At 39.0% G+C, this 27,240-nt stretch overlaps 1 long non-coding RNA gene and 1 pseudogene across 2 annotated transcripts in view, besides 1 other annotated feature; both read right to left on the bottom strand.

The window, feature by feature from the left end:
• The window catches only part of BTG1-DT (BTG1 divergent transcript), a 39,700-nt gene that overhangs the window by 6,543 nt on the left and 5,917 nt on the right, over positions 1-27,240 (bottom strand). Inside the window, exon 4 of one of the 2 annotated variants that reach the window (NR_135037.1) lies at positions 11,682-12,123. The exons of the other annotated variant lie outside the window; for it this stretch is intronic. This is a non-coding gene — a long non-coding RNA (BTG1 divergent transcript). Of the gene's footprint in view, positions 1-11,681; positions 12,124-27,240 lie in introns of those variants that run through there. 2 annotated transcript variants of the gene reach the window in all.
• Positions 7,138-7,197: an enhancer, noted in NCBI's record as "active region_6726". NCBI's record gives its function as "activates an Ori minimal core promoter by ATAC-STARR-seq in GM12878 lymphoblastoid cells {active_cell/tissue: GM12878}" and the evidence as "EXISTENCE:reporter gene assay evidence [ECO:0000049][PMID:35858748]".
• On the bottom strand, positions 10,325-10,876 carry RPL21P106 (ribosomal protein L21 pseudogene 106; annotated as a pseudogene).

Below are 27,240 nucleotides of genomic sequence, written 5' to 3'. Positions count from 1 at the left end.
ACAGGTGTGAGCCACCATGCCCTGCATAGGGAGAACTTGCTGAAGCAGATAAAACTTATAGTTCTCACAAGTTCTTTACGCATCTATTCAAAGGTACAGGAGCAAAATGAAAGTATAAGGGAGAAAGAAGGACACAGACTTGGTTGGACAGGCCATTCTCACCCTCTAGATTAAACAGAAGATGGTCTCTTGAGTGCCCAACGCCTTGCTTCAAATAGAGTTGCATCCAGCATTTCAGACACATGGATATCAATGCATAACAGATTAAAATCCTGCACTGTAGCATTGCATTAAAAAAAGAACATTTGAGTCTTCTGCTTATGAAAAAATGCATATATTTTAAAAGAGGAGACTGTATTGCAAAATGTATATACATTTATGATTACCAATTCACTGGAACAAAAGGTCACTGATCTCTAAGTTATTTGCTTAATTGATCACAGGTTGCCATGACACATGGCAATATATAGGCTCTCTTTAAGGCTTCTTTTTAAAAGAAATATTTTATTAAATCTAATTTCATCAGTGTAATAATTTCTAAAACTCCCCTGCAGCTAAGTGGTAACTGAAACCTAGATGTTAACTTATCATTGCACCTCGTTTTGTGAGAATAACTTTGGAGGTGCAAGAACACTTATTTTCAGCTCTTGGAATGTGTGAAATGGGTGATCTCTAGACTTTGTGAAGTTCACCTCCACCTCCCCTCCCATCACACCTAGATTCTTGGTGAGTGTAGGTGTTATGTTTTCTGTGATAGAGGTTTTGTCCTCAGACAGAAAAGCACATGAGCAAAGTATGTCACAAGGATTCTATTATATTTCTACAACAAATACTGTTGGTATGTTCTAAAGCTGCTTCACCCCAGAGCCAGGCTCTGAAGCTGTATTGAGGATGTCTTTGTTTTCAGAAGGCCTTGGTATTTACTAAGGAGCAATTATTAATCTGACATAGGTAAACAGAGGGGTCTTGACCATGAGTGAAAGTGTAAAGTAGGTAAATTTTTCATTATCTTCTTATTTCCCTTTGCTATATAAAATGAGTCTGAATAAGCAAAGAGAACAGAAAGATTTTCAATGTACTTCAAAAAGTTTATTTATTTAAAATTTAATGTTTTATTCCTTTAAGAATTAGGAAATGGTAAGGAACCAATAGGATTGTCATGAAAAAAATATGCTACCATGACATCTTATTGCTTAGAAAAAGAAGCAAGTTTTTTCCAACTATTTCTTTTTCTATTTTAAAACAGAGATAGGATCTGGGTGCAGTGGCTCACACCTGTAATCCCAACATTTTGGGAGGCCAAGGTGGGCAGACCAGCCTGGCCGACATGGTGAAACCCCATTTCTACTAAAAACACAAAACTTGGCCATGTGTGGTGGTGGGGCACCTGTATTCTTAGCTACTCGGGAGGCTGAGACAGGAGAATAGCTTGAAACCAGGAGGTAGAGGTTGCAGTGAGCTGAGATAGCGCCCCTGCACTCCAGCCTGGGTGACAGAGTGAGACCCCATCTCGAAGAAAAAAAAAATAGAGATAGGGTCTTACTATGTTGCCCAGGCTGGTCTTGAACTCTTGGCCTCAAACAATCCTCATGACTTGGCTTCCCAACAAATACTATATTAGCATTATAGGTGTGCCCACTGTGCTGGGCCTCCAACTGTTTCTTCAAAGTCATTTTACCTGTCCAACTTTCAGACAAGGCCATCTTTAAAATTCTTTAAAATATGTAGCTTCTCAGGGTTCAAAGTAAAATAAAAGTGAAAAAAGTACAAAAAATTAAAAGTTTAAAAATACAATAGAAGATATGTACCCTACTTCCCAAAGTACGTATACATGCAAATGGATTTGTATATGTACAAATGAATTCACATTTCCCTTCCTCAGCCTCCCTTCCCTCAAGAGCCAAATCTATTCCTCCATTCTCTTTATTCCTTTTGTTTGTTTGTTTGTGAGGACAAGGTCTCTCTCTGTTACCCAGGTTGGGGTGCACTGACGTGATCATAGATCACTGCAGCCTCAAACTCCTGGGCTCAGGGATCTTCCTGCCTCAGCCTCCTGAGTAGCTAGAACTACAGGCACCTCTCACCACACCTAATGAAGCGACGTCATAGTCTGGGCGTAGGTACCCGCGGTTTGCCAAGAAGATTAAGGACATGGACACACGTGGGTGGGTTAAGGAGCGGAAAGTTTAATAGGCAGAAGAAAGGAGAGAGGAGAGAGAAAAGTAGCGTTGTGGTTCTCCCTCTCTCCCTCTCTCTCTCGACAGAGGGGCATCCGAAAGGGAAAAGCTGGCCTATGGCAGACCACAGCACATTTTATAGGCAGGCTTGAGGAGGCAGTATCGGATTTACGTAGGGCCCATGGATTGGTTTGACCAGGGGTGTCCCTTACATAGCGCAGGGAAGGCTGGTCGCCCCACCCTAATCTTATTATGTAAATGGGCTTTCCGCTTAGCCAGCACCATCTCATCTGCTCCTTACTGCACATGTGGCTAGCAAAGAGAAGGAAAGATGGAGCCGCCATGTTGATCATGCGTAGTCCCAGGTAGCCTTTTCCTGTTGTCACAACTGCCAGGGCATTCACCTGTGCAATCAGCTTACTTGTCTATGTCTGCAGCTCGATTTTACAGGCTGCTTTGTTAGAAAAGAAATGATCTGGGGGCTGCTTTTCTTTAAAAGGAAAACCTTATCAGGGACTCCCGTACTCTCACTATCTGCCAAAATGATTTCTTCTTAACTCCTGTATCACTGGCTAATTTTTTTTTCTTTTTTTTTCTGTAGAGACAGAGTCTGACTATTTTGCCCAGGTTAATCTCAAACTCCTGGCCTCAAATAATCCTCCTGCCTTACAAAGTGCTGGGATTAGGAGCGTCAGCCACCACACCTGGACCCTCATACTCTCTTTAGACTCAGACTCACCGTCTCTTGGGTTGGAATGAGATGGGGGCTGGGGTGGCAGTTGTTCTTGTCCCCTTTGTGTCAGGCTGGCTTCTGAATGTCTTGCTTCAACGCTGTCACTCTCTACAGACAGACGCACTGATCCTTCTCATTTTAGGGGTTTGTCTGTCAATCACTATGGAGGAAACAATAGCAGAGGGAGTCCACAAATAACAATAGGGCAGTTACAAAGCTTAATTCTTAAAAGGTCCTCACTCCCTTGCTGAGAGGGTTATAGAAAAAAGTCCTTGGAAGGCTGCTGCCTGACTTTTTTCTTTCAAGGTGGATCTCTTCTGATTAGCTTGTTGGTTGAATTGAGCTCAGTGTTTTGAAAATTATCCTGGGGACAGATTCATCCAAGTAGGTAATTTGCGTCTGTGAACTCCTGTGGACTGGGTAGTCACAATTTAATGACTCTGGTTTCACTCAAACTTGGATATTTTCTCACTTTGATGGCTACACAAATATCCCTGATTTTTTCTTAAGAAATAGGCAAGTGTCATGATTTTCTTACAAAATAAAGCCAATAATTGTTAAGAACCTTGTAAACGCACTGGAAAGGGGGTTATGTTTAAGGAAAGAATTGCTTCGTTCAAAAACACTTATTGCTTATCTACCTAAAGTGAAAACCTGCAGATTGGAAAAGCAAAAAGAATTAGCGAAAAGGTTGAGCACAGTGACTAATGCCTATAATTCCAGCACTTTGGGAGGCCAGCGCAGTAGGATTGCTTGAGCCCAAGAGTTCGAGACTAGCCTGGGCAACATAATGAGCCCCTATCTCTACCAAAAAAAGCAAGAAATTAGCCAGGTGGGGTGGTGCACACCTGTAGTCCCAGCTACTCGGGAGACTGAAGTGGGAGAATCACTTGAGCCTGGGAGGTCGAGGCTGCAGTGAGCTGTGATCTTGCCACTGCACTCTGCCTGGGTGACAGAGCTAGACCCTGTCTCGAAACGAAAGAGAGAAAGGGAGAAAGGGAGAGAGAAAAGAAAGAGAAAGAGAAAGAAAGAAAGAAGGAAAGAAAGAAAGGAAGAATAAAAGCTGCCCAAGTTGGCATAGGTGGTATGAGCCTGTAGTCCCTGCTACTCTGGAGGCTGAGGAGGGAGGACCACTTGAGTCCAGAAGTTTGAGTCCAGCTTGGGCAACATAGCAAAACCTCCATCTCTAAAAATAAATAAATAAACATAAAATGAAAATTTTAGAAAAATTGCCATTTAGAAGCATACAACCAAGGTTTTCACTGTTGTTTTTTTAGCTTTACCATCTCAGAAGGTTGGTTCTTCTCTCAACCAATTTTATTGTTTTGCAGTCTAAGAATTTCTTTAGATATATGGGATCATTTTGAGTTCCAAAACAAGCTGCTCACTGCTCTAAGTCTTATACCTTTTTTTCATCACTGTTTATAGTCTGTTTTCCCCAACAAGTCCCCCACCTAGCGGTGCCAGGTTTGGCAATAAAAACCACAGGGAACACAGGTAAATTTGAATTCCAGATAGGCAGTGAATAATTTTTTCATATAGGTATGTCCCAAATGTTGCTTAAAACACACTTAAAAATTATAATTGTTTGTATACTAAAAAAAGTGTTGTTTGTTTGAGATTCTAATTTAACTGAGCATCCTGTATTTTATCTGGCAAACCCTACTCTCATCCTAATTCATCTTCATAAGATATGTTAGCCTTTAAATTTAGTGGTGTCCACAAATTTAAAGAGCATCTTCTTTATTCTATAATCCTAGTCAAGAGGGGAAATGCTAAATCCTCCATAGAAACCACTCCCTGCCTGGCGGCATTTATTTATCCCCCCTCTGACATTGAACCTTTTAGCTGAATAGGACATGTCAGCCATTGCTACCTCCATGTAATACTTGTCACATCTGAAGGATGTTTGTTTTTTCCCCTTTCTCACTGATTTGAATTTTGGATTTTGTCTTTCAGTAAAACAAATGCTACAGGTCTAGTTCATCACCTATTCTGAATCTAGGTCTGCCTTGTATTTCAGTGAAGAAATTAAATGAGGATAATGTGGGTAATTATCAGGCGCAGACTCTTCAGGTTCTATGGCAATAATGCATGAAAGACTGGTGTACAAATCATTAAAACCCTAAGTTTCAACCTTCTCCAGTAGAAAGCAAAGAAGAAAACCAAAGGAGGAATGGTTGATTTGTATGTCATTTCTGTTGTTTCACCTGCTTAAAATCTGATAAGATTTAGAATGTGTAAAGTGAAGCCTGGAAAATGGATTCCGGATTCACCCGTCTCTGGCTGAAGCGAGCTCTTATGAGCTCAACTGATACCATAGTTCTCATGGGGAGAGAGGTGAATACCAAAAGTGTAATTGCTTTAATGAAATGCTCTTATAAATATACTATCATGCCAACTGATATCATTTTTATCCTAAATGCTATTGTAATTAAAATGTTGTCACTAATATCCGAAATCAGCAATTTCTAAAGTAGTTTAATATTGCAACTGCTTTAAAATGTGCTTGTAGACTAGCAAAATGTCAGAGCCTACTTTCAAAGGCTTTCTTCTGGGACACCGTTTATTCTTGCTTATAACTTTAGTAGTATTATTACCTCTCACTGTTGCAACCTGGTTTTCTATAGGATTCTTTTTTTTCTTTCCTTTTTTTTTTCTTTGTAGAGATGGGGTCTCACTATGTTGCCCAGGCTGGTCTGGAATTCCTCAGCTAAAGTAATAGATATCGCACATTCTATAAAACCCACCCCTGGTGTCCATAAAGAAATCAGTTATGGACTGGAATGGGAATGTGTAGGGAAATGAGCTATAAACCAGACGAACATTCCCCAAGAGCAGAATCTATTTTTTTTAAATAAAGATGAGAGTCTTACTATGTTGCCTAAGCTGCTGTTAAACTCCTAGCCTCAAGCAATCCTCCTGCCTTGGCCTTCCAAAGTGTTGGGATTACAGGTGTGAGCCACTATGCCCAGCCAAAAACAGAATCTAAAATAGGAGCATTGTTTGTACCACGCATACGACACTTTTTAAGGAAACACACTCCAACTCTACAGTTTTGAAATTTGCGGCTGGGCGTGGTGGCTCACACCTGTAATCCCAGCACTTTGGGAGGCTGAGGCAGGTGGATCACCTGAGGTCGGGAGTTCAAGACCAGCCTGGCCAGCATGGTAAAACCCTGTCTCTACTACAAATACAAAAATTAGCCAGGCGTGTTGTCAGGTGCCTGTAATCCTAGCTACTAGGGAAGCTGAGAAAGGAGAATCACTTCAGCCAGGGAGGCAGAGGTTGCAGTGAGCCGAGATGGTGCCATTGGCACGCCAGCCTGGGCAACAGAGTGAGACTGCGTCTCACATTAAAAAAAAAAAAAAGAAAGAAAGAAATTTGCATGTGACTTCTTTGAGGTCAGCAGAGTGCAGAGAACTTGCAAACAGCTGAGAGCCTAAAAGCCCATAGACACATCAGGGCACGTAAGCCTCCGGGGTAGTCCAGTGGAGAATTTACAAGTCTTTGGTTAAGAAACGTCCCTGCCCTCAACGTCACATCTGCTACTCAGAACAAGTTATTATCTTCAGTTATTTCTGACTTAGGACTGTCTGTGGGTGGATCTGTCCTGTTTTTATTATGTCTGCTGGTTCTGATGATCTCATTACTTTGTTAATTAAATTTTTAGCTTATTTTAATCTCCCTTTAATAATTCACTTTTAGCAGCGGGGAAGAGGAAGCAGCACCTCAGAGAATAGTGTCCATCCCAGAGGTAGCTCTGCAGGCTTCCTTCCTGTGCTTCAAATTGTATCTTCTTGCCAGGCCTGGTAGACAGCTTTAAAGACACAGGTTAAAAATAATCATCCAGAGAATTTAGGAAGACCACAGGCTAAATTAGTCTTCTGAGGAAAAATGTAAATAGCCCTAAAGCCTCCCAAAATTGCCAGAAAAGAGAACCCCAGAGGCTGCTCATAAGGTATCAAAGGCCAGGACCAGCAATTGCTATTACCCTTGCTATACTCTTTCTGTTCCCCCGTCCCTCATCAATGGATTTCATTTGGGAATTACCTCTTCATATTCACTGCCTGTTTCTCTGCTTGGGTGTACATGGATGTGAATGCATGTCGTATGTTTAAAATTGGTTTTTCTTTGTTGTTTATCATTTTGGCGTATAACACTAGCTCCCGATTTGATCTCTTCAGGTAGAGGACAGACTCTGAAAAGAGTCTTCTAAAATATGATAATCTGGCCAGGTGGGGTGGCTCACGCCTGTAATCTCAACACTTTGGGAGACCACGGTGGGCAGATTGCTTGAGCACAGGAGTTCTAGACTAGCCTATGCAACACAGTGAAACCCTGTCTCTATCAAAAAAACAAAACGAAAACAAAAATTAGCCAGTCGTGGTGGCATGCACCTATAGTCCAAGCTTCTTGGGGGGCTGAGGCAGGAGAATCGCTTGAGCCTGGGAGGTCGAGGCTGCTGTGAGCCAATATTGAGATCACGCTACTCCAGCCTGGGTGACAGAGTGAGACCCTGTCTCAAAGAAGAAAAAAAGATGTGATTATATACTTGTAAGCTGTTCTGTGGACACTGACTCTTAGCTGAATGAGAAATTCAAAAGATGCCAGCTCTTCTGTCTAATTAAAGATATTAACTATTTTAAACTACTAAAAATATATTTTCCTAGTTTGTCATTCATGTTTTCCTTGTTATTCTGATTTTTTAGTGTTCAGAAGTTTACAAATTTAATGAAGTCAAATCCGTGCTCCTTATTAATAATGTGTATTTCCACATCAGTTTCTTGTACTTCCTGCTTTAAAAACAATTCTGTGTAAATATAAATTTAAAAGTAAGCAACTAAATATAAAAACAGTTTAAAATAACTATAATAGCGCAAACTTACACAGTGTTTCATGGTGTTTAGCAGTATGATAATGGAGTAGCAGAGTCAGGAGCATGCCTGTCTGATCTCTACCATATGCCAGCTATGCAGACCTCATGCTCTGTAAAACGCTCTACTGACATTCCCTGTCCTCTTCCCTTTCCTTTCCTGAAAAGTCAGTCCTAAAAATTAAGTAGAACTAAGCATGGTAGGCATGAGCTTCAGGGGAAGGCTGCGGGTGACGGGGGAGTTGGAGTGCTCCAGAGGGTATGTCAGAGCCCAAGTGGAAGGAGAAGGACATGTGTCTGCCTTCACTTAATATTTGTAATTGTTAACTCAAGGTCCTTACATCTGGAATATTCTTATCAATATGTTAATTATTTAATAAGAATCCTTAATTATTTAGGATTGTATTGGTTACAAGGGATAATAAATAAAACACTACCTTAAGAAAAAGTATAAAAGGAACTTATTGGCAGATTATTGGGGTCTCATAGAATCTAAGGGGAAGGTGAATAACCAAGTCACAAGAAGGGCCAGCCTACAGGACAGGATAATGCTCTGGAACAACTCGAGCCAGGAGCTTAAATATCCCCAAGGTGTTCTCTATACCTTTTATCTCCTTTTCTCTTTGTTCTCTCTCTCTCTGTGTATTCTTTACATAGTAGGAAAAAATGGCTGCCAACGGTATCAAGATTTTACTTGCAGAGCATACAACTACAGGACAGAGATCATCTTAATCTCCAGTGTTTCCAGATCTAAAACCCCCAGTGAATAAATTCACTGGCTATGCTTAGGTACCCATCATGACTACTCCTGTAGCCATGGATGGAAGTGGGAGGAAAGAAAATGAGAGAGTATTTCAGAGATTTCCAAGAAGGGAGGTACTATGTGGATAAGTCATAACTACCTATTACTTAGGCCTTAGGCCTTCTCTGTTTATCTCCATCTCTGAGATGGGTAATTTGGGGATAAAGGTGATCACTCCTGCTTTAAACTTATTCTGACTTGGCTGGTCTGAGTGCATGGTGTCTACAACTAATTGATCAAAACTAGTTACAGATTTCTTTGTTCCTCCTCCACTTCCACTGCTTCACTTGGCTAGCCTAAAATACAAACAAACAAACAAACAAAATAAAACCCTTATTCTGACTTAACACTACTCTGCAATGACTGTACACTCAGCTTGGATGATGAGCTCAGAAAGATGACATTTACAAGACAGAGTTTCTCAGTTTGTATGTTGTCTTCTGTGTTCCATGCAGTCTGTAACTATTTACTTCATCTAGAAAAGGCCCACCCATAATCTGAGCAACAGGAAACAGGATTTTGATTTGGTTTTTTATTTGCTAAGGAATGCTATAAAACAATGAAAAGCTTAGCAGTCAATTGCTACAAGGTTTTACTTGCTTCAAAACCTTACTTTTTAACACTATTTTCAAGCAACATAGAAATTTACTAATAAGTACTTTTATAAAGAATATTTGAGGGGAAAAAAAACCAAGATGACTACAAGAGGCCCTAAGACTAGCAATTATGGTCAATAATTCATGTTTGGGGGCCCCTTACTAATGGTATAGAGGCATAAATTCCTCTTGATCTAATTTTCCCTTCAAATCACTGTTCTTTGCAGTAAAAAAAATTACACTGAGGTTTACCAATAAATTGTCATAGAGTATGTTCATACTTTAATATGTGCCCTTTAATATCTCTCTGTTCTCACTAGGGTTTTTCTTTTTATTACAGTATTTTAGAAATCATATTCATATCTCTGCAACTTGCTTTTTTAACTTAAATGTATCATATTTATTCTTCTAAGACTTGGTCAATGTACACAGATATAATAATTTTTATTAGCTATATGAAATTACTATAGTATGAATGATTCATCATTCACAAAATCATTCTCTTATTGATAGACATTCGGTTATTTCCAGTTTGGGGCCATTATTTTTAAATGCTGCAATAAACATATACCCTTAACACATGTGTATGGGAACGTATGTGTTTCTCTATATGTTTTTATATATTGAGTTTTTCTATAAAAACTGACTTTTTCTATAAAATTTATATTAAAGAAATTATCAAAAGTGGGATGTCAAAGCATAGCATATTTTTGATTGATAAATTCTACCAAATACTTTCCAAGAAGATTATAGCTAATTATTATTTCATAAACAAAGTATGATGTTTCCATTTCCCTATAACTATATTAGCACCAGACATTAATCTTTTACTATCCATCAATCTGATAATAACTGGCATATTGTATTGTTTTGCATTTTCCTGACTACTACTAAGATTGCATGTTTACTATATTTATTGTCCACTTTTTTCTCTAATAAATTGCCTATTCTTATATTTTGCCTATTTTTCTTTTGTTTAATTATCATTTTCAATTTGTAGTTCTTTATGTGAAGATATTATTATACCTTAATTTTTATTTACTATATATTTAATATTACTATTAATTCCTTGTTTCTCACATGTGTCACCAATGTTCCTTTTTCTGCCTAGCCTAGCTCTTTTTTTTTTTTTTTTTTTACAGTCCAGAGGTCTTGGATTTTTTTTTTTAAACACCTACTATGCCATGAATTCATAAGGAAGAGGGTCTAGCAGCTCAGGCTTTTTCCCATTGGTTCTCACAAAGTCTGCTTTTCTGGGTGGAGGAGGCTGGCGCTTCAGTTGAACCCAGGTACCATTCTCTTTGGCTTCTTTCTTTTTCTGATCATTTTCCTTCAAGCATTAGGAAACAATCTCAGCTCTTAGAATGCTAAATGTGCTCAATACCCACATTAATTCTCTTGGCAGGAATCTTGCCCTTAAGTTGTTTGTTTACAACAATGCCAGCAGCATGCTGGGGAACAAGGTAGACTCTTTCAGCTTTCCCATGGTAACACTTGTGGGGCATTCCTTTTTGAACAGTACCCACTCCTTTGATGTCTATGATATCACCTTTCTTACAGATTTGCATGTACATGGCCAAAGGAACAACTTCATGTTTTCTAAAAGGCCTAAAAATCACATATGGGGTGCCTCTCATCTTTCCCGTTGTGTTCATCATTTTGGCAAATTACCGGATGATGGTGGTTCCTGCCCTAGCATTTCTATCTTGTTTTTTTAATGATGCTTTTTATCATACACAAACGTCTAGTTTTGCTTTGTTTTTCACAGATGTTTTAATCTTTTCCTTTATGAATTCTTGTCTTCCTGAATTACTTAGAAAGTTTTTCCACCCATCCTCACTGCTATAGACTGAATGTTTGTATTCCCCACCAAATTCAAATTCACATCTTGAAACTCTAATCCCCAATGTGTTGCTATTTTTAGGTGGGGCCTTTGGGAGGTGATTAAGTCATGAGAGTGAAGACTTCATGAATAGAATTAATGCCCTTGTAAAAGAGATCCCAGAGAGCTTCCTTGCCCCTTCCATTATGTGAGGCTATAGCAAGAAGATGGCCCTCTGTGAATCAGAAATCAGGCTTTCACAGACACCAGATCTTCTGGTGCTTTGATCTTGGACTTCCCAGTCTCCAGAACTGTGAGAAATAAGTGTTTGTTGTTTATGGGTTACCCAGTTTATGGTATCTGTTACAGCATCACAAACAGACCAAGAAAGTCACACTTGTAAATCTACACATTTCCTGATTTTTCTTTTATTGGTTTTTATTCTAGTAATGTAATTCAAATAGAATTTGTTTTATATACAATGTAGCAATCTAACTTTCTTTCATCTAGAAAGCCAGTACCCAGGATTATAAAAAGTAAATAACTACCTCTCTAAACATACCCCTCAGAGGAGTACCCCCTTGATGTGTTGCCTTAAACTTTTTTCTATGCATATATAATCCTTTGATACTTGTGTGTGTGTTTGTATATATATACACATACACAGATAAATACTATATGTACAGCATGATCTATATTTATTTATTTTTCTCCAATTTGTTTTCTTTAAAGACCTTAAAATGCTGGAAAGAACTCCAAATCAGATGTTATACTCTACCTCATTCTTTTAAAAGGCGTAATAACATCCTATCTTAAAATTTGACAAACTTCATTCATTAAGGCATAACCAATTTACTACTCGCAGCTGAAGAAATCCCCAAGGTAAAATCTTCTCTGCCCCAGCTCTCCAAATCTTGTTCTGAATAGTGGTCCCACATCTCTGAGGAGTTCTTTACTCAGGTCCCCTGGGACAGAGTCACAGTATCAGCCTTTATCTTTAAAAAGGGCAACCTTCTAAGTGCCACCTTCAATCAATCAGCTCCCAAGTCTCTCAACATTCTGAACTAGCTTTCTTTTCTATGTGTTGAAAGTCTGGCTTCTCCATTTAATATTCTGCCTGTAAAAGAAGGAACATTTGGAACAGCACTATTCTACTACTGACCTTTTTGGTACTTTTAAATCTATAGGGGATGGGAAATGCAGCTAAAAATAACCCAAGACTCCTTCTGCAATATTTATGGATCTCTCATCAATCTTTGATTCCATAGACAGGTACCACTTAGCCAGGCCATATGATTTTGATATTGATTCAAGATTCTTAATCTTCCATCAGAGCTTTTACTGCCACAGAATTTCTGAGTTCATTCATTCCTCAAATATGTATTGATGCCACTATTTACCAAGTACTATATTAAGTGCTGTGAATGTACTGGTGAACAAAATAGTCACAGTGCTGGGTAGTTATGTACTTCTTTGAGCAAATTATAATCTTAAATGTGATTGAAATCATTCTTTGTCTTTAATTCTCCTTTGAAGCATTTACACTAACATGATGCAGATTTTAGTGTTTCTTATGCTTTTCTGCCATAAAAAACAACAAGTTCAATGCTGTTCCTTATCTAAAAGAGAAGATTTTTATGCTGTAGGCATCATCATGACACTTTTTAAACAATTTTTGTCTAAATAGCTTAGCATCTTTTTAGCAAAACCAATATTGTTTCTATGGGTTAAAAGTCATTTGGTATTCAAGAAATATTTATTGAGTCCCTATTGCATGTTAGATACTGTTCTAGGATCCAGGCCTAGGGGCTGTGTGTGTGTGTGTGTGTGTGTGTGTGTGTCATAGAGCTTTTTAGCAGTGTGAAGAGTATAAACTTTTTCTCTGAACAATATTTTTATGTTGTACTAATTAAAATACATTGGATTGCAACGGAAATTGATTGACCTATACCTTGATGAATAACGTTAATTTCTTAAAGCCCTGCTTTTAAGTGACCTCTTTAAACAAAACAAAACAAACTTCATTCATTTTAATGAGAAAGTTTTTATGTAGTACATCTTAACCTAAGACATCCAAACAATTTTCAAAAATTATATACATATTTAGTATGTCTCCATACACATATGTATATAATAAAAGCACATCTGTGTAAGTAATAATAAAGAATTTGAAAGTAATCAAGCATAGTAATCCAATGAATAATTTTTGTACTCAGCAAAGGAGAAAGAGATGACTTGATAGTGGGTGATGGATGTGCAGGGAAGAAGTGAGAGAATCTCGATTTGGAAATCTCCTTCTTTTTGCACTATTTTTCTTATGTATTTTTTAATCTTTTGAAGAATCTTATTATTACTGAGGTCAGTTTTGCTTAAAATAAGCTTTAAACATCATTTTTCAGGCACAAAAATGCAAAGCACAAACAATGTACATACACCGCATGGAAATAGTACATGCACACACAGACCAAAGGGTTATAAGAGATGACGATGCTATATCTTCATTTCTTGCTTGGTGTTCACAAGCAAAACAAACATGTTTGGGATTATCCAAATAGCGGATTCCATTTAATTTTTTTTCCTGTGATATTTTGACTAGAAACTCTGTTGAGTGAATTGGTGAGTGTGTTCATGCCTGGAATCATAATGTTGAGACAATTTCTCTTAGTATGTATATTTAATGTGTTTGGGTAAAAAAATCTTTACGCTGGGAATAAAAAGGAGTTTTACCAATAGTGATATGACTTTTCAAGAGCTGTATTGCTGAAAGGTCATTAATTAAACATTCATCTTGTGAGGTACACCTCATTAACATCTTATTCTATTCACAAAACTTGGGTATCCTTGCATCCAGCTGGGGTAAAAACAAAACAAAACAAAAAAAGCAAAAAGAGAAACTAACAACAACAACAACAACAGAAAAAAAACATTGAACAAAACAGACACAAATCCATGTGTCTTATAAGCTCTAAGGAGCTTATACACTTCAGAATCTACATGGATGATAATTCTGTTCACGGGGTCAATTTGTTCAGCTCACAAAAGGTGCATTTTGTACTTAATTAATGTTGGCAATCCCATCACAATGCAGTACTGCTCAAAACTAAAGCCCTAAGGGAGTAAAGTTATCCTGTTAAAAGTGTTTTTGCTTAGATGGTTTCTCTGGCCTCCAAAATCTTCTATCATGATCATCCGTTTTTTTGCCCCCCCCTTTTAAATCCCCATACCTAGAGGACAATAGTGATCATCTCTCTGATGCTTGTTGATCTAGATGAGGGATAGACAAAGTATTGCCCAAGAACTAAATCTGCTTTCTTCTGTTTTTGTAAATAAACCTTTATTGGAACACAGCCAAATTTGTATTGTCTATAGCTGCTTCCACACTATAATAGCAGAGTTGTTGATACCACAGAAATACAAATGCAAATGCACAGAACTAGGATGACCACTTTCACCATTCTTATTAAATATAGTACTGGAAGTCCTTATCAGAGTAATCAGGCAAGAGAAAAATACAAAAGGCATCCATATTGGAAAAGAAGAAGTCAAATTACCCCTGTTTGCTGAAGATATGATCTTTTATCTAGAAAATCCTAAAGACCTCACCAAAAAACTATTAGATTTGATAAATGAATTGAGTAAAGTTTCAGGATACAAAATTAACCTACAGAAATCAGTAGTGTTTCTGTACACCAATAACGATCTAGCCAAGGACCAAATCAAGAAGGCAATCCTATTTACAATAGCTACAAAAATAAAAAACAAATAAAACACCTAGGAATATATTTAACTAAAGAGGTGAAAAACTCTATAAAAGGAACTATAAAACACTGATAAAAGAAATCATAGATGACACAAACAAATGGAAAAACATCCCACACTCATGGATTGGAACAATCAACATTGTTATAGTGACCATACTGCCCAAGGCAATCTACAGATTCAATTCAATCCCCATCAAATTACCAACATTGTTTTTCAGAGAATTAGAAAAAAAAACTTCTAAAATTCATATGGAACCAAAAAAGAGCCTGAATAGCCAAAGCAGTCCTAAGAAAAAAGAATGAAGCTGGAGGCATCACATTACCTGACTTTAAATTATACCAAAGGACTATATAGTAACTAAAACAGCATGGTATTTGTATAAAAATAGACACATAGATCAATGGAACAGAATAGAGAACCCAGAAATAACGCCACATACCTACAAACAACTGATTTTCAACGAAGTCAGCAACAATATACACCAGAGAAAGGACCCCCATAGTGCTGAGAAAATTGGATAGCCATATTCAGAATGAAACTAGATTCATACCTCTCACTAAATACAAAAATTAACTTAAGATGGACTAAAGACATAAACATAATACCTGAAACTATAAAAATCCTAGAAGAAAATATAGGAAAAACTCTTTTGGACATTAGCCTAGGCAAAGAATTTATGACCAACTCCTTGAAAGCAAATACAACAAACAAAAATAGACAAATGGGATTCAATTAAACTAAAAAGCTTAAAAGAAATAATCAACAGAGTAAAGAGACAATCTTTGGAATGGGAAAAATTATTTGCAAACTACGGATCTGACAAAAAGCTAATATCCAGAATCTACAAGGTATTCAAACAGCTCAACAAGGAAAAACCAAATAATTCCATTAAAAACTCGGCAAAGGTTGGGTGCAGTGGCGCATGCCTGTAGTCACAGCACTTTGGGAAGCCTAGGTGGGAGGATCCCTTGAGCCCAGGAGTTTGAGACCAGCCTGGGCAACATAGGAAGACCCCATCTCTACAAAATAAAAATACAAAGAATTAGCCAGGTGTGGTGGCGTGCACCTGTAGTCCCAGCTACTTGAGAGGCTGAGGAAGGAGGATCACTTGAGCCTAGGAGGTTGAGGCTGCAGTGAGCCGAGATCTTGCCACTGCACTGGGTGACAAAGCAAGACCCGTCTCAAAAAAAATGAAAAAAAAATAGTGCCAGGCACAGTAGCTCACGCCTGTAATCCCAGCATTTTGGGAGGCTGAGGCAAGTGGATCATCTTAGGTCAGGAGTTCAAGACCAGCCTGGCCAGCATGGCAAAATCCCATCTCTACTAAAAATACAAAAATTAGCCAGGCATGGTGGTGGGCACTTGTAGTCCCAGCTATTCAGGAGGCTGAGAGGCAGGAGAATTGCTTGAACCTGGGAGGCGGAGGTTGCAGTGAGCTGAGATTGCGCCACTGCATTCCAGCCTGGGCGACAGAGCGAGACTCCATCTCAAAAAAACAAAAGTGGGCAAAAGAAAAAGACATGAGCAGGGAACATCAGGATAAATAGCTAATGCATGCTGGGCTTAACACCTAGGTGATAGGATGATCTGTGCAGGAAACCACCATAGCACACGTTTACCTATGTAACAAACCTGCATATCCTGCACATGTATCCTGGAACTTAAAATAAAATAAAATAAAAATAAAAAGACATGAACAGACAGTTTGCAAAAGAAGACAAACAAGTGGCCAACAAACATATTTAAAAAAAGCTCAATATCACTAATCAGAGAAATGCAAATTAAAACCTCAATGAGGTATCATCTTTCACCAGTCAGAATGGCTATTATTGAAAAGTCAAAAAACAACAGATGTTGGCAAGGACATGGCGGAAAGGGAATGCTTATACACTGTTAGTGGGAATGTAAATTTGTGTAACCTTTATGGAAAACAGCATGGAGATTTCTCAAATAACTAAAAGTAAAACATTTGGTTTGGTAATCCTACTGCTAAATATGCAGCCAAAAGGAAAGAAAGTATTACATCAAAAAGATACCTTCACTCATATGTTTATTGTAGCACTATTCACAACAGCAAAGATATGGAATCAACCTACATGTCCATCAGTGAACGAATAAAGAAAATGTGGCATATATACAATATGGAATATGACTCACCCATAAAAAGAATGAAATCATGTCTTTTGCAGCAATGTGGGTGAAATTGGAGGTCATTATCCTCAGTGAAATTGCTCAGAAATAGGAAGTTAAATACCACATGTTCTCATTTATCAGTAGGAGCTGAACAATGGGTACACATGGACATAGAGAGTGGAATAATAGACATTGGAGACTCCAAAAGGTAGGAAGGCTGAAAAATTACCTATTGGGTACAATGTTCACTACTCAGGTGATGGGCACACTAGAAGCCTAGACTTCACCATTATGCAATATCTATATGTAAGAAATCTGTATTTGTACCCTCTAGATATATAAACATTGACAAAATTTAAATGTAAAAAAATTTTCAGAATTGAATAGTTGTGACAAAGCTCCTCTGGTCCACAAAGTCAAAAAGTATGTACTGCCTGGCCCTTTATAGAACAAGTTTTGACCATTACTGATCTAGATTTCTGGGGCTTCAAGTACAGTGTTATTGAATATTTGAGCAGATCTAAAGGGATGCAGCCTTGCATTCTTAAGGGATCCAGTCTTACTTATAGATCTTCTCATATCTCTCCTGAAAAGCAAATAAGGGACAGATCTTCACCTTCAAATTTTCATAACATTAGAATGCTTTGTCCCCATTGCCCCTGGTGCTTAATGAGTGTTTTTGTTTGTTTGTTTGTTTTTGAGACAGAGTCTTGCACTGTCACCCAGGATGGAGGGCAGTGGCACAATCTCGGCTCACTGCAACCTCTGCCTCCCGGGTTGAAGCGATTCTCCTGCCTCAGCCTCCTGAGTAGCTGGGATTACAGGCATGCACTAATTTTTTGTTTTTACTAGAGACAGGGTTTCACCATGTTGGCCAGGCTGGTCTTAAACTCCTGACCTCAAGTGATCAGTCTGCCTCAGCCTCCCAAAGTGCTGGGATTACAGGCATGAGCCACCACGCCCTGCCGAGTGAGTGTAACTTTTAACAGGCAAATTTGATCATGTCATTCCTTGGTTTAGAACTCTTGGATAACTTCTTCCTCATTCTTTAGATATGATGAATATCTTAAATACAATCACAAGGTGCCTCAGATTCTGATCTCACATAGTTTTCCAGCCTTATCTTTGGTGTCTCTCGTTTTATTCTCTTCACTAAGAGATCAAAAACTTCTGCTCTGAACATACCTCTGTCCCCTTTGAACACTTGTTTTCTTAGTCTCAACAGCAGCTCTTATTCTGCCACCCTCCATCCAGGTTAATTCCAACTCATCCTTCAGTAAAAATCACTGTTTTAGGAAAGACTTCTGTGAGGTCCCTCTGCCCTGTCCCTATCTAGGTTACACTTTCATAGCTGCTCTATTTTTCTCCCATAGCAGTTTTCAGAATAGCAAATATGTACTTGTTTATGCTATTTGCTTAGTTTTGTCTTTCTACTAGATTCCATAAAGTGTAGGACAGATTTTTTCTGTAAGCGGATGTAGCTCCAGTGCTTAGCCAGTACCTGATACATAGCAGACAGTCAAATTCATGGAATGTATTTATTAACAACTAGAACACTTACACATCAGACATTTTGCAGTAAACTTGTACTCAGTAGTTATTGGGAGAGTCAAATTAAGAGTGAGTGACCTGGGCCGGCACGGTGGCTCACGCCTGTAATCCCAGCACTTTGGGAGGCCGAGGCAGGTAGATCACCTATGGTCAGGAGTTTGAGACCAGCCTGACCAACATAGTGAAACCCTGTCTCTACTAAAAATACAAAAATTAGCCGGGCATGGTAGTGTGCGCCTGTACTCCCAGCTACTTGGGAGGCTGAGAGAGGAGAATTGAACCTGGGAGGCAGAGGTTGCAGTGAGCCGAGATTGCACCACTGCACTCCAGCCTGGGTGACAGAGCGAGACTCCATCTCAAAAACAACAACAACAACAAAAAAAAAAAAAACTGAGCAACCTGAAGCATGAATGTCTTACAAAATTATGTGAAGTTGTTCCTTCTATCAAGATCTAATTATGAAGTGATCCACTAACTCGAGTGTAATGCTAATATGTGTTTTTCTTTTGATAGTTTCTTTTTTCTTTTTTTTTTTTTTAAGAGAAGGCCATATGCTTTATTGCATTTCTTTTTTCTTAATTGATATCAGGAAGCTCAAAAATAAATTTATTGTTTATTTATAGCAATGCTCTCCAAACCCACATTTCTTGTAAAATTTCTTCCTATCTTATTTACACAGCTTATTAGCCTTTTTGTTTATTTTTAAATCTGTAAAGTATTTGCTTCATAGCCTGGGTAACATGGTGAAACCCCATTTCTATTAAAAATACAAAAATTAGCTGGGCATGATGGCATATGCCTGTAGTCCCAGCTACTTGAGGGGGCTGAGGTAGGAGGATCAAAAAAGTATTTGCTTCATATTTAGTCACCTCAAGTTTTTTGTTTTTGTTTTTGTTTTTGTTTTTAGAGATAAGATCTCACTATGTTGTCCAGGCTGGTCTCAAATTCCTGGGCTCAAGCAATCCTCCTGCCTCAGCCTCCCAAAGTGCTGGGATTACAGGGGTGAGCCACTGCACCCGGCCACATAAGCCACATAATTGTATCTTGATTCTGTTTAAGACTCATTCTTCTCATCAGATTAAGTCCAGAAAAGCATATAAATAGCACTTCTTTGGCCATATCTGAACAATTGGTAAGGATGGAAGCTACAGCTGGTCTCAGAGGTTCTAAGGGTCCTGATTGAAATTCTATGACTGTCTTGCTCATGGGGGAGAGGAAAGGGTTAGGTGTGATGTCCTAGAAGTTAATGGTTTTTTTTAAGTTAGCAAAATAAACTGAAGCCAGTTATCCACTGCTTATGAAATGTAAATAGCATATTAATATACTATGGCTGCAACTTGACAACACTATTTTCTGTGCCAGACCTGCAAGGCGCAGCCTTATGTGTGTGCATCCAGTTTGAGGCTAGGACCTCCTAGGCCACTTCTTGCTTCTCTGGTAGGCTGGTTTTCAAGTTACTTCTCCTGCCTCCTTAAGTACATCAGGCTGGGGAGAGGAGGTGAACTAAGAGTTCATCAGTTTAGGAGGAGGGGGAATTTAATCATAAGTTTGCCTTTTCTTCAGATGATTAAACAATGAGTGTTTATGAAATCAAGAAAAATGTTTTTCCCCCAGAGTTTTCTTTTCAAAGATTTCTCTGTGCACTCTGGCTAATTTAAAAAGAGCCCCATAGGGTGCTTATTTTTGCACACATATATTGCCAGAGTAGTTCCTGTTTTGGTTTAAATGTGTTCCTTCTTTTTAGTCAGATGAAAGAGAACTTTCTTTAAAAAGAACTTGTCTGCTGATCGTGTTTGTTAGAATTAGCCTAAATAAAGCTTCCGTTAAGAGCTTAACTGTTTAGTTAAATCCTCTTGGCTAAATTATCTGGCGAATATTTGTCCTTGGACGATGTAACCACAGTCCGCTCATTACTCTCTTTCCAACCTGAAATGTGTGTCTCTCCCTCTCCTGAGGATACTAGGAAGTGAGTGTCTTGAGGAAGAAACTTTCCCTCTCATTCAGTTAACTTATTCCTTGTGCAGTTGGATGTTGGGGTGTGGGTGTTTGAAATATGCTAGGCACCACAAGTGAGCACGATTAATTCTGCATCAGGTAAGGGGCTAGGAGGGGACTGCCTAGGTTAAGCCATAAAGAAATGACATCTTGAAGGCATTAGATAAGAGAGAAGAATGTTTGAAAGGGAAAGGCCATGGAAAGAAGTGGAAATACTCTTCAAAAGTCTGTCGAGGTCAGCCTGCCATGCAACTATAAAATTAAGCTTTCCTGATAGATAATTTTTCTCAGGAGAAAATTCTAGGAAGATACAACTGCAAAATAGATAAGTAAATAAATAGTGAATTATTGATACATGATAAACATGGATGAATCTCAAAAACATTGTGCTAAGCAAAATAGGTCAGACACAAGAGACCACTTATTATATGACTTTATTTATATGAAATTACCAGAAAAAGCAAATCTATAGAGACAGAAAATAGACTAGCAGTTTCCTGGGGGCGAGGTGGGTGTGGAGGTGGGCGGCGGTGGGGGCAGGGGGCAAGGTGAAATTGTATCAGAGGTTATGAAAATGTTCTGAAACTGATTATAGTAATGGTGCATAACTCAGTAAATTAAAAATCCTTGAATTGCACACTTGAAATGGGAGGATTTTATAATATGTAAAATATATCTCAATAAAGCTCCTTAAAAAAAGGCAAGAACATCATCTGTTCAAAGGGACTAAGGATAGAACTTTTTGAGTATAAAGATAGAAGTTCTCTTAACTATTACAATCTCCCATCATCTAAATAGTGTACAGACAGCTTTGTTTCTACAAGGGAGAAAACCAAGAAAAGAACCATTCCTTGAGTACTCTAATGGTTTATCTTTTACTACTGTTTCATTTTTTAAATCTACTTGTGAAATAAGCAGTAGGGTCAGACATTAAAAACAAACGACAACAAAAAAACACATGGCAACCATTCTTTGAGTTTGATGATCAGCATTACAGTTAAAATTCAAATTGGCTTTCAGAAGATAATATTTTCTACATTTTGCTTGATGAAAGGTTTAAATAAAAACCATGCAAATATGGAATGTTTTTAACGCATGCTTTAATGCTAATAAAAGGATGCTTTGCTTTCATATTTTAGGGCCAAAGGGAAAACTTTCACTTTGCCCTCTGAAGGTTCACTGAAAATTTGGCAACAGGTAGAACAGGAGACTAGGTATGCAAACTTATTAATATGCATGGGGAGGAAATCACAGAGTAATTGCCCTAATACCCAGTGTGGTACTGTTTCAGAAAAAATTCTGAAACCATGTTTTTTCTCTGCTCTTAAGCCAACACAATAACAATCAACACAGAAGACTTCTGTGACCCCAAAATATGTGGGAATTTCTCTCCACCACCAACCAACCAATCACTTCTGCAGTGAACACAAAAGGGTGTCCTCCAATTCAATTCCAGTACTATCTACCTGGAGATCATGTCAGATCCCACATGTTGAGGGCTCAGACCCCAAAACTGCCCACCACCCCAAACACCAGTAGCAAGCTCAGGCCTCTGGAACTTCTTTTTCTTTCTTCCTTTTTTTTTTTTCTCTTCATTATCTATGCATCAAGAAGCAGGCCTCTGGAACTTCTTTTTCTTTCTTCCTTTTTTTTTTTCTCTTCATTATCTATTCATCAAGAAGCAGGCCTCTGGAACTTCTGGTCTACTGGCTTCAAGTTGGGATTCCGAAGACCTCCTCTCTAGGCGGGTGAGGTATACCCGCATGGAATTTCCATTTCCTCGTTGGGCCCACCACCCTCCAGGAAACTCCGTATGTTCAGCTATCTGGAAGCTCTTTGAACCCTGTCCTTTTGGGTTTCTATGGCGGCCTCATTACATAAGCATGATTGATTAACCCATTGGCCACTGGTGAGCAAGTGGACCTTCAGCCCCTTTCCTCTTGGTGGAAGTTGGAAGGTAGGGCTGAAAGTCCCAACCCTCTAATCATGCTTTTGGCTTTCAGGTGACCAGTCTTACTCTGAAGCTATCAGTCTACTTTAGCATACAAAAAGAAAGAACTTTGGAGATTCCAAGGATTTTAGGGGTTGTATGCCAGGAAGCAGGAGGGAAACCACATGTATATTTCAGAATATCACAGATTCAGACACTTATATACCCTTTTTCAAGGGGAGATGGGGAATGTATATAATTGTTGTGATAGGTATTAAGTCATTAGGGAGAATGGATAGATTAGGGAGGCTGAAGGCAGACATTATGGGAAGGTGAGGAGTGGAGCTGGGCAAGAACAACCATTGTCATATTTCACAGATAGAGTCCCCCAGGTAATTTCTTGGAGCTGCACTCAGAAGAATAGATGAAAAATCTGTCTTAGCATAGTAACTCCAGTCTCTGCTCTTCTCTGGTGGTTGCTCTTTCCTGGTTATTTGACCAGATTTCTTGGAAGGGAGTATTAAGACAACTGCACTTAAGCTCTCTTAGTCAGATAAGGACATTCCAGAGTCTCTCTTGGTGCTTTGGGAAAGAGGATATGAGAGGCAGGGAGAAAGGAGAAAGGTCACAGAGAGACCGTGGTTCTGAGGCTAATTTTTCAGGACTTTCAATTTCCAAAGCAGTCAGTATGGCAAAGTGTCATATTTTGGGGAATTGTTTTCTTCGACCCAACAACATTCAACCACATCAGATTGTGAATACAGCTCTCCCTGGGTATCCTCAGAGAATTGGGTCCCTGACCTCCAAGGATACCAAAATTCAAAGATGCCCCAGTCCTTAATATAAAATGGCATAGTATGTGCATACAACCTATGCACATCCTCTTGTATACAGTCATGCATTGCTTAAAGTTCTAAGAAATGCGTCAGTAGGCGATTTCATCATGTGCAGACATCATAGAGTGTGTTTACACAAAGTTAGATGGTAGAGTCTGCTACACACCTAAGGCATATGGTATATGGCCTATTGCTCCTAGGCTACAAACCTATGCATCATGTTAAGGTACTGAATATTGCAGACAATTGTAACACAATGGTATTTGTGTATCTAAACATAATGATATTTATAAGACGAACTGTAAAATTACGGTATTATAATTTTAGGGGAAGAATCTTCTTACAAGTGGCCTCTAATTAACTGAAATGTCATTATGCAGCTCATGACTGTAATTTAAATCATCTCTAGATTGCTTACAATACTTAATAAAATGTAAATGCTATGTAAAGAGTTTTTATACTGTATTTTAAAATTTTGTATTATTTTTATTGTTGTATTATTTTTTTTTGTTTTGTTTTTTCAGAATATTTTCCTTTTCTTTTCTTTGTTTTTGAGACAGGGTCTCCCTCTGTTGCCCAGGCTAGAGTGCAGTGGCGTGATCTTTGTTCACTGTAACCTTTGCTTCCCAGTCTCAAGCCATCCTCCTACCTCAGCCTCCCAAGTATCTGAAACTACCATGCCTAATGTTTGTATTTTTTGTAGAGATGGGGTATCGCCATGTTGCCCAGGGTGGTCTTGAACTCCTGAGCTCAAGTGATCCTCCCACCTCAGCCTCCCAAAGTGCGGGAATTACAGCTGTGAGCCACTGTGCCAGAGATTTTTCCAAATATTTTCAATCTATGGTTGGTTGAATTCATGAGTGCAGAACTTGAGGATTCAGAAGGCCCACTATATTATCTAGCTGAAGACTGCTTCTGCTTCACTTAGGGAAAATAAGTATTTATTAAGTAAATGGATGAGAGAACACAAAATAGTGGGGAGGCTATCACTTTATCCTCATCCTCATCCTCATCAGAAAATACATGTAATTTGGCCGGTGCGGTGGCTCATGCCTGTAATCCCAGCACTTTGGGAGGCTGAGGCAGGTGGATCACTTGAGGTCAGGAGTTAGAGACCAGCCTGGCCAACAGGGTGAAACTCCATCTCTACTAAGAATACAAAAATTAGCCGGACATGGTAGCTCACGCCTGTAGTCCCAGCTACTCAGGAGGCTGAGGCACGAGAATCACTTGAAATTGGGAGGTGGAGGTTGCAGTGAGCTGAGATCATGCCACTGCACTCCAGCGTGGGCAACAGGGTAAGACTTGGTCTCAAAAGAAAAATACATGCTCTTTGATATGCCAGTCATAACTATTTTTTTTCTTTAGAAAACTTTTCTTCCATGGCTAGAACATAGTCTTTTCAGGAATTTAAGTGTCTAACTTGCTATGCCCCATTAAGTGAATATATCCTAAATTGTATTTACTAGTAGGATTTCAATCCTTGAATTCCCGCTGATGTATATTCAGATGCATGAGAGTCCACATCTTTTCCACAATCATGTTGGATATCTATATGTAGGCCTTCTATATTTATATTTATTTGTTTTGTTATACAGTACTTCTGCAACATGAATGTTCTTTTTTTTTAGTTGACTACCTAGTTTAAAGAGAATGTTGTGACTTCATCTTTTTTTGTTTGTTTGTTTGAGACGGAGTCTCGCTCTGTGGCCTAGGGTGGAGTGCAGTGGCTGCATCTCAGCTCACCGCAAGCTCCACCTCCTGGGTTCACACCATTCTCCTGCCTCAGCCTCCTGAGTAGCTGGGATTACAGGTGCCCGCCACCACACCCGGCTAATTTTTTGTATTTTTAGTAGAGACAGGAGTCTCGCTCCTCTGTCTCTGTCTCTGTCACCATGAGACAGGGACACCATGAGACACCATGGTGACAGAGTCTCTGTCTCTGTCACCATGTTAGCCAGGATGGTCTCGATCTCCTGAGCTCGAGATCTGCCCTCCTTGGCCTCACAAAGTGTTGCGATTACAGGCCTGAGCCACCGCGCCCGGCTGTGACTTCATCTTAATGCACCTAAATTCTAATCTACTTTGAGATTTTAAATTTGAGTTTCCATAAAGACAAACAAACAAACAAAAAAAGCAAAAAAACAAGTTGCTGTTTTGTTTTCTTCTTCTTTTTTTTTTTTTTTAAGAGACAGGGTCCTGCTTTGTTGCCCAGGCTGGAGTGCAGTGGCACCATCATAGTTTACTGTAGCCTCAAATTCCTGGACTCAAGCAATCCTACTGCCTCAGCCTCCCATGTGGCCCATGTAGCTAGGACTTACAGGCACGCACCACCAACCCCAGGTAAATTTTTTATTTTTTGTAGACAGGGGGTTCTCAATATGTTGCCCAGGGCGGTCTTGAATTCTTGGCCTCAAGCTATCCTCCTGCTTTGGCCTCTCAAAGTGCTGGAATGACAGGTGTGAGCCTCCATGCCCAGCCCTGCTGTTTTTCTTTGAAAGTAAAAGAAAAAGTAAAAATAAAGTATACAAAAAGTAAAAATAGGCCAGGCGCAGTGGCTCACGCCTGTAATCCCAGCACTTTGGGAGGCCGAGGCAGGCAGATCACGAGGTCAGGAGATCGAGACCATCCTGGCTAACATGGTGAAACCCCGTCTCTACTAAAAATACAAAAATTAGCCGGGCGTGGTGGCGGGCGCCTGTAGTCCCAGCTACTCAGGAGGCTGAGGCAGGAGAATGGCGTGAACCCGGGAGGCGGAGCTTGCAGTTAGCTGAGATTGCACCACTGCACTCCAGCCTGGGCAACAGAGCAAGACTCCGTCTCAAAAAAAAAAAAAAAGTAAAAATAAAGTATAGAATATGCCAACATTTGATTATATGGGTATCCTACCAAGCTTCCTGAGTATTATCCTCTCTCGAGAGCAAAATGTGAACACCATTACTGGACAAGAGTAGCTGTGGCTTGCTTATTGTCTCAGAAACTGGGAAGAATGGAGTTTACCCAGACTATAGAACCTAAAGGAAGCAAATAACTCACTGAAAACTTAGTTCATTTTAAAGGCAGCTTTTACCTATTCAATTGATGTGCTTTTTCTTTTAAGGAAAAAGATTTCTATTGGATATGGTATATACCTGAAAAAAAGTGAGGTTTTTTTTTTTGTTTTTTGTTTTTTTTGAGATGGAGTCTTGCTCTGTCGCCCAGGCTGGAGTGCAGTGGCACAATCTTGGCTTACTGCAAGCTCCGCCTCCTGGGTTCACACCATTCTCCTGCCTCAGCCTCCCAAGTAGCTGAGATTACAGGTGCCTGCCACCACACCCAGCTAATTTTTTATTTGTATTTTTAGTAGAGACGGGTTTCACAGTGTTAGCCAGGATGGTCTCGATCTCCTGACCTCGTGATCTGCCCGCCTCAGCCTCCCACAGTGCTGGGATTACAGGCGTGAGCCACCGTGCCTGGCCAGGTTATTTTTATTGATACCTAATAGATGTACATATTTTCAGGGTACATGTGATATTGTGACACATTCATATAATAGGTAATAATCAAACTGGGGTAATTGGGGCATCCATCACATTACACAGTTATCTTTTCTTTATACTGAGAACATTCAAATTATTCTCTAATAGCTATTTTGAAATATAAAATAGATTACTATTTAATATAGTCACTGTATTGATTTATCAAATGCTAGATAGTAAATCTTCTATTTAATTGTATTTTGTACCCATTAGTGAATCTCTTTTCATCCCTTCTCCTACCTAGCCTTCTCCGCATCTAGTAGCCATCTAGCCATCAATCTACTCTCCATCCCCATGAGATCCACTTTTTAAGCTCCCAATATGAGTGAGAACACGCAATATTTGTCTTTCTGTGCTTGGCTTATTTTTCTTCAATTGTTCTAAAATTATTTTGTTTTTCCAGCACAGGAAAAAGGAGGCTTATTTTATTTAACATAATGACCTCCAGTTCCATTCAAGTTGCTGCAAATGACAGGATTTCATGCTTTTATTAATGGCTGAATATTTCA

Source organism: Homo sapiens, chromosome 12 (genome assembly GCF_000001405.40).
Source record: "Homo sapiens chromosome 12, GRCh38.p14 Primary Assembly".
Classification (NCBI taxonomy): Eukaryota; Metazoa; Chordata; class Mammalia; order Primates; family Hominidae; genus Homo; species Homo sapiens.
Note: the sequence above shows the minus strand (reverse complement) of the source record. Positions and strands in the feature narration are given on the sequence as shown.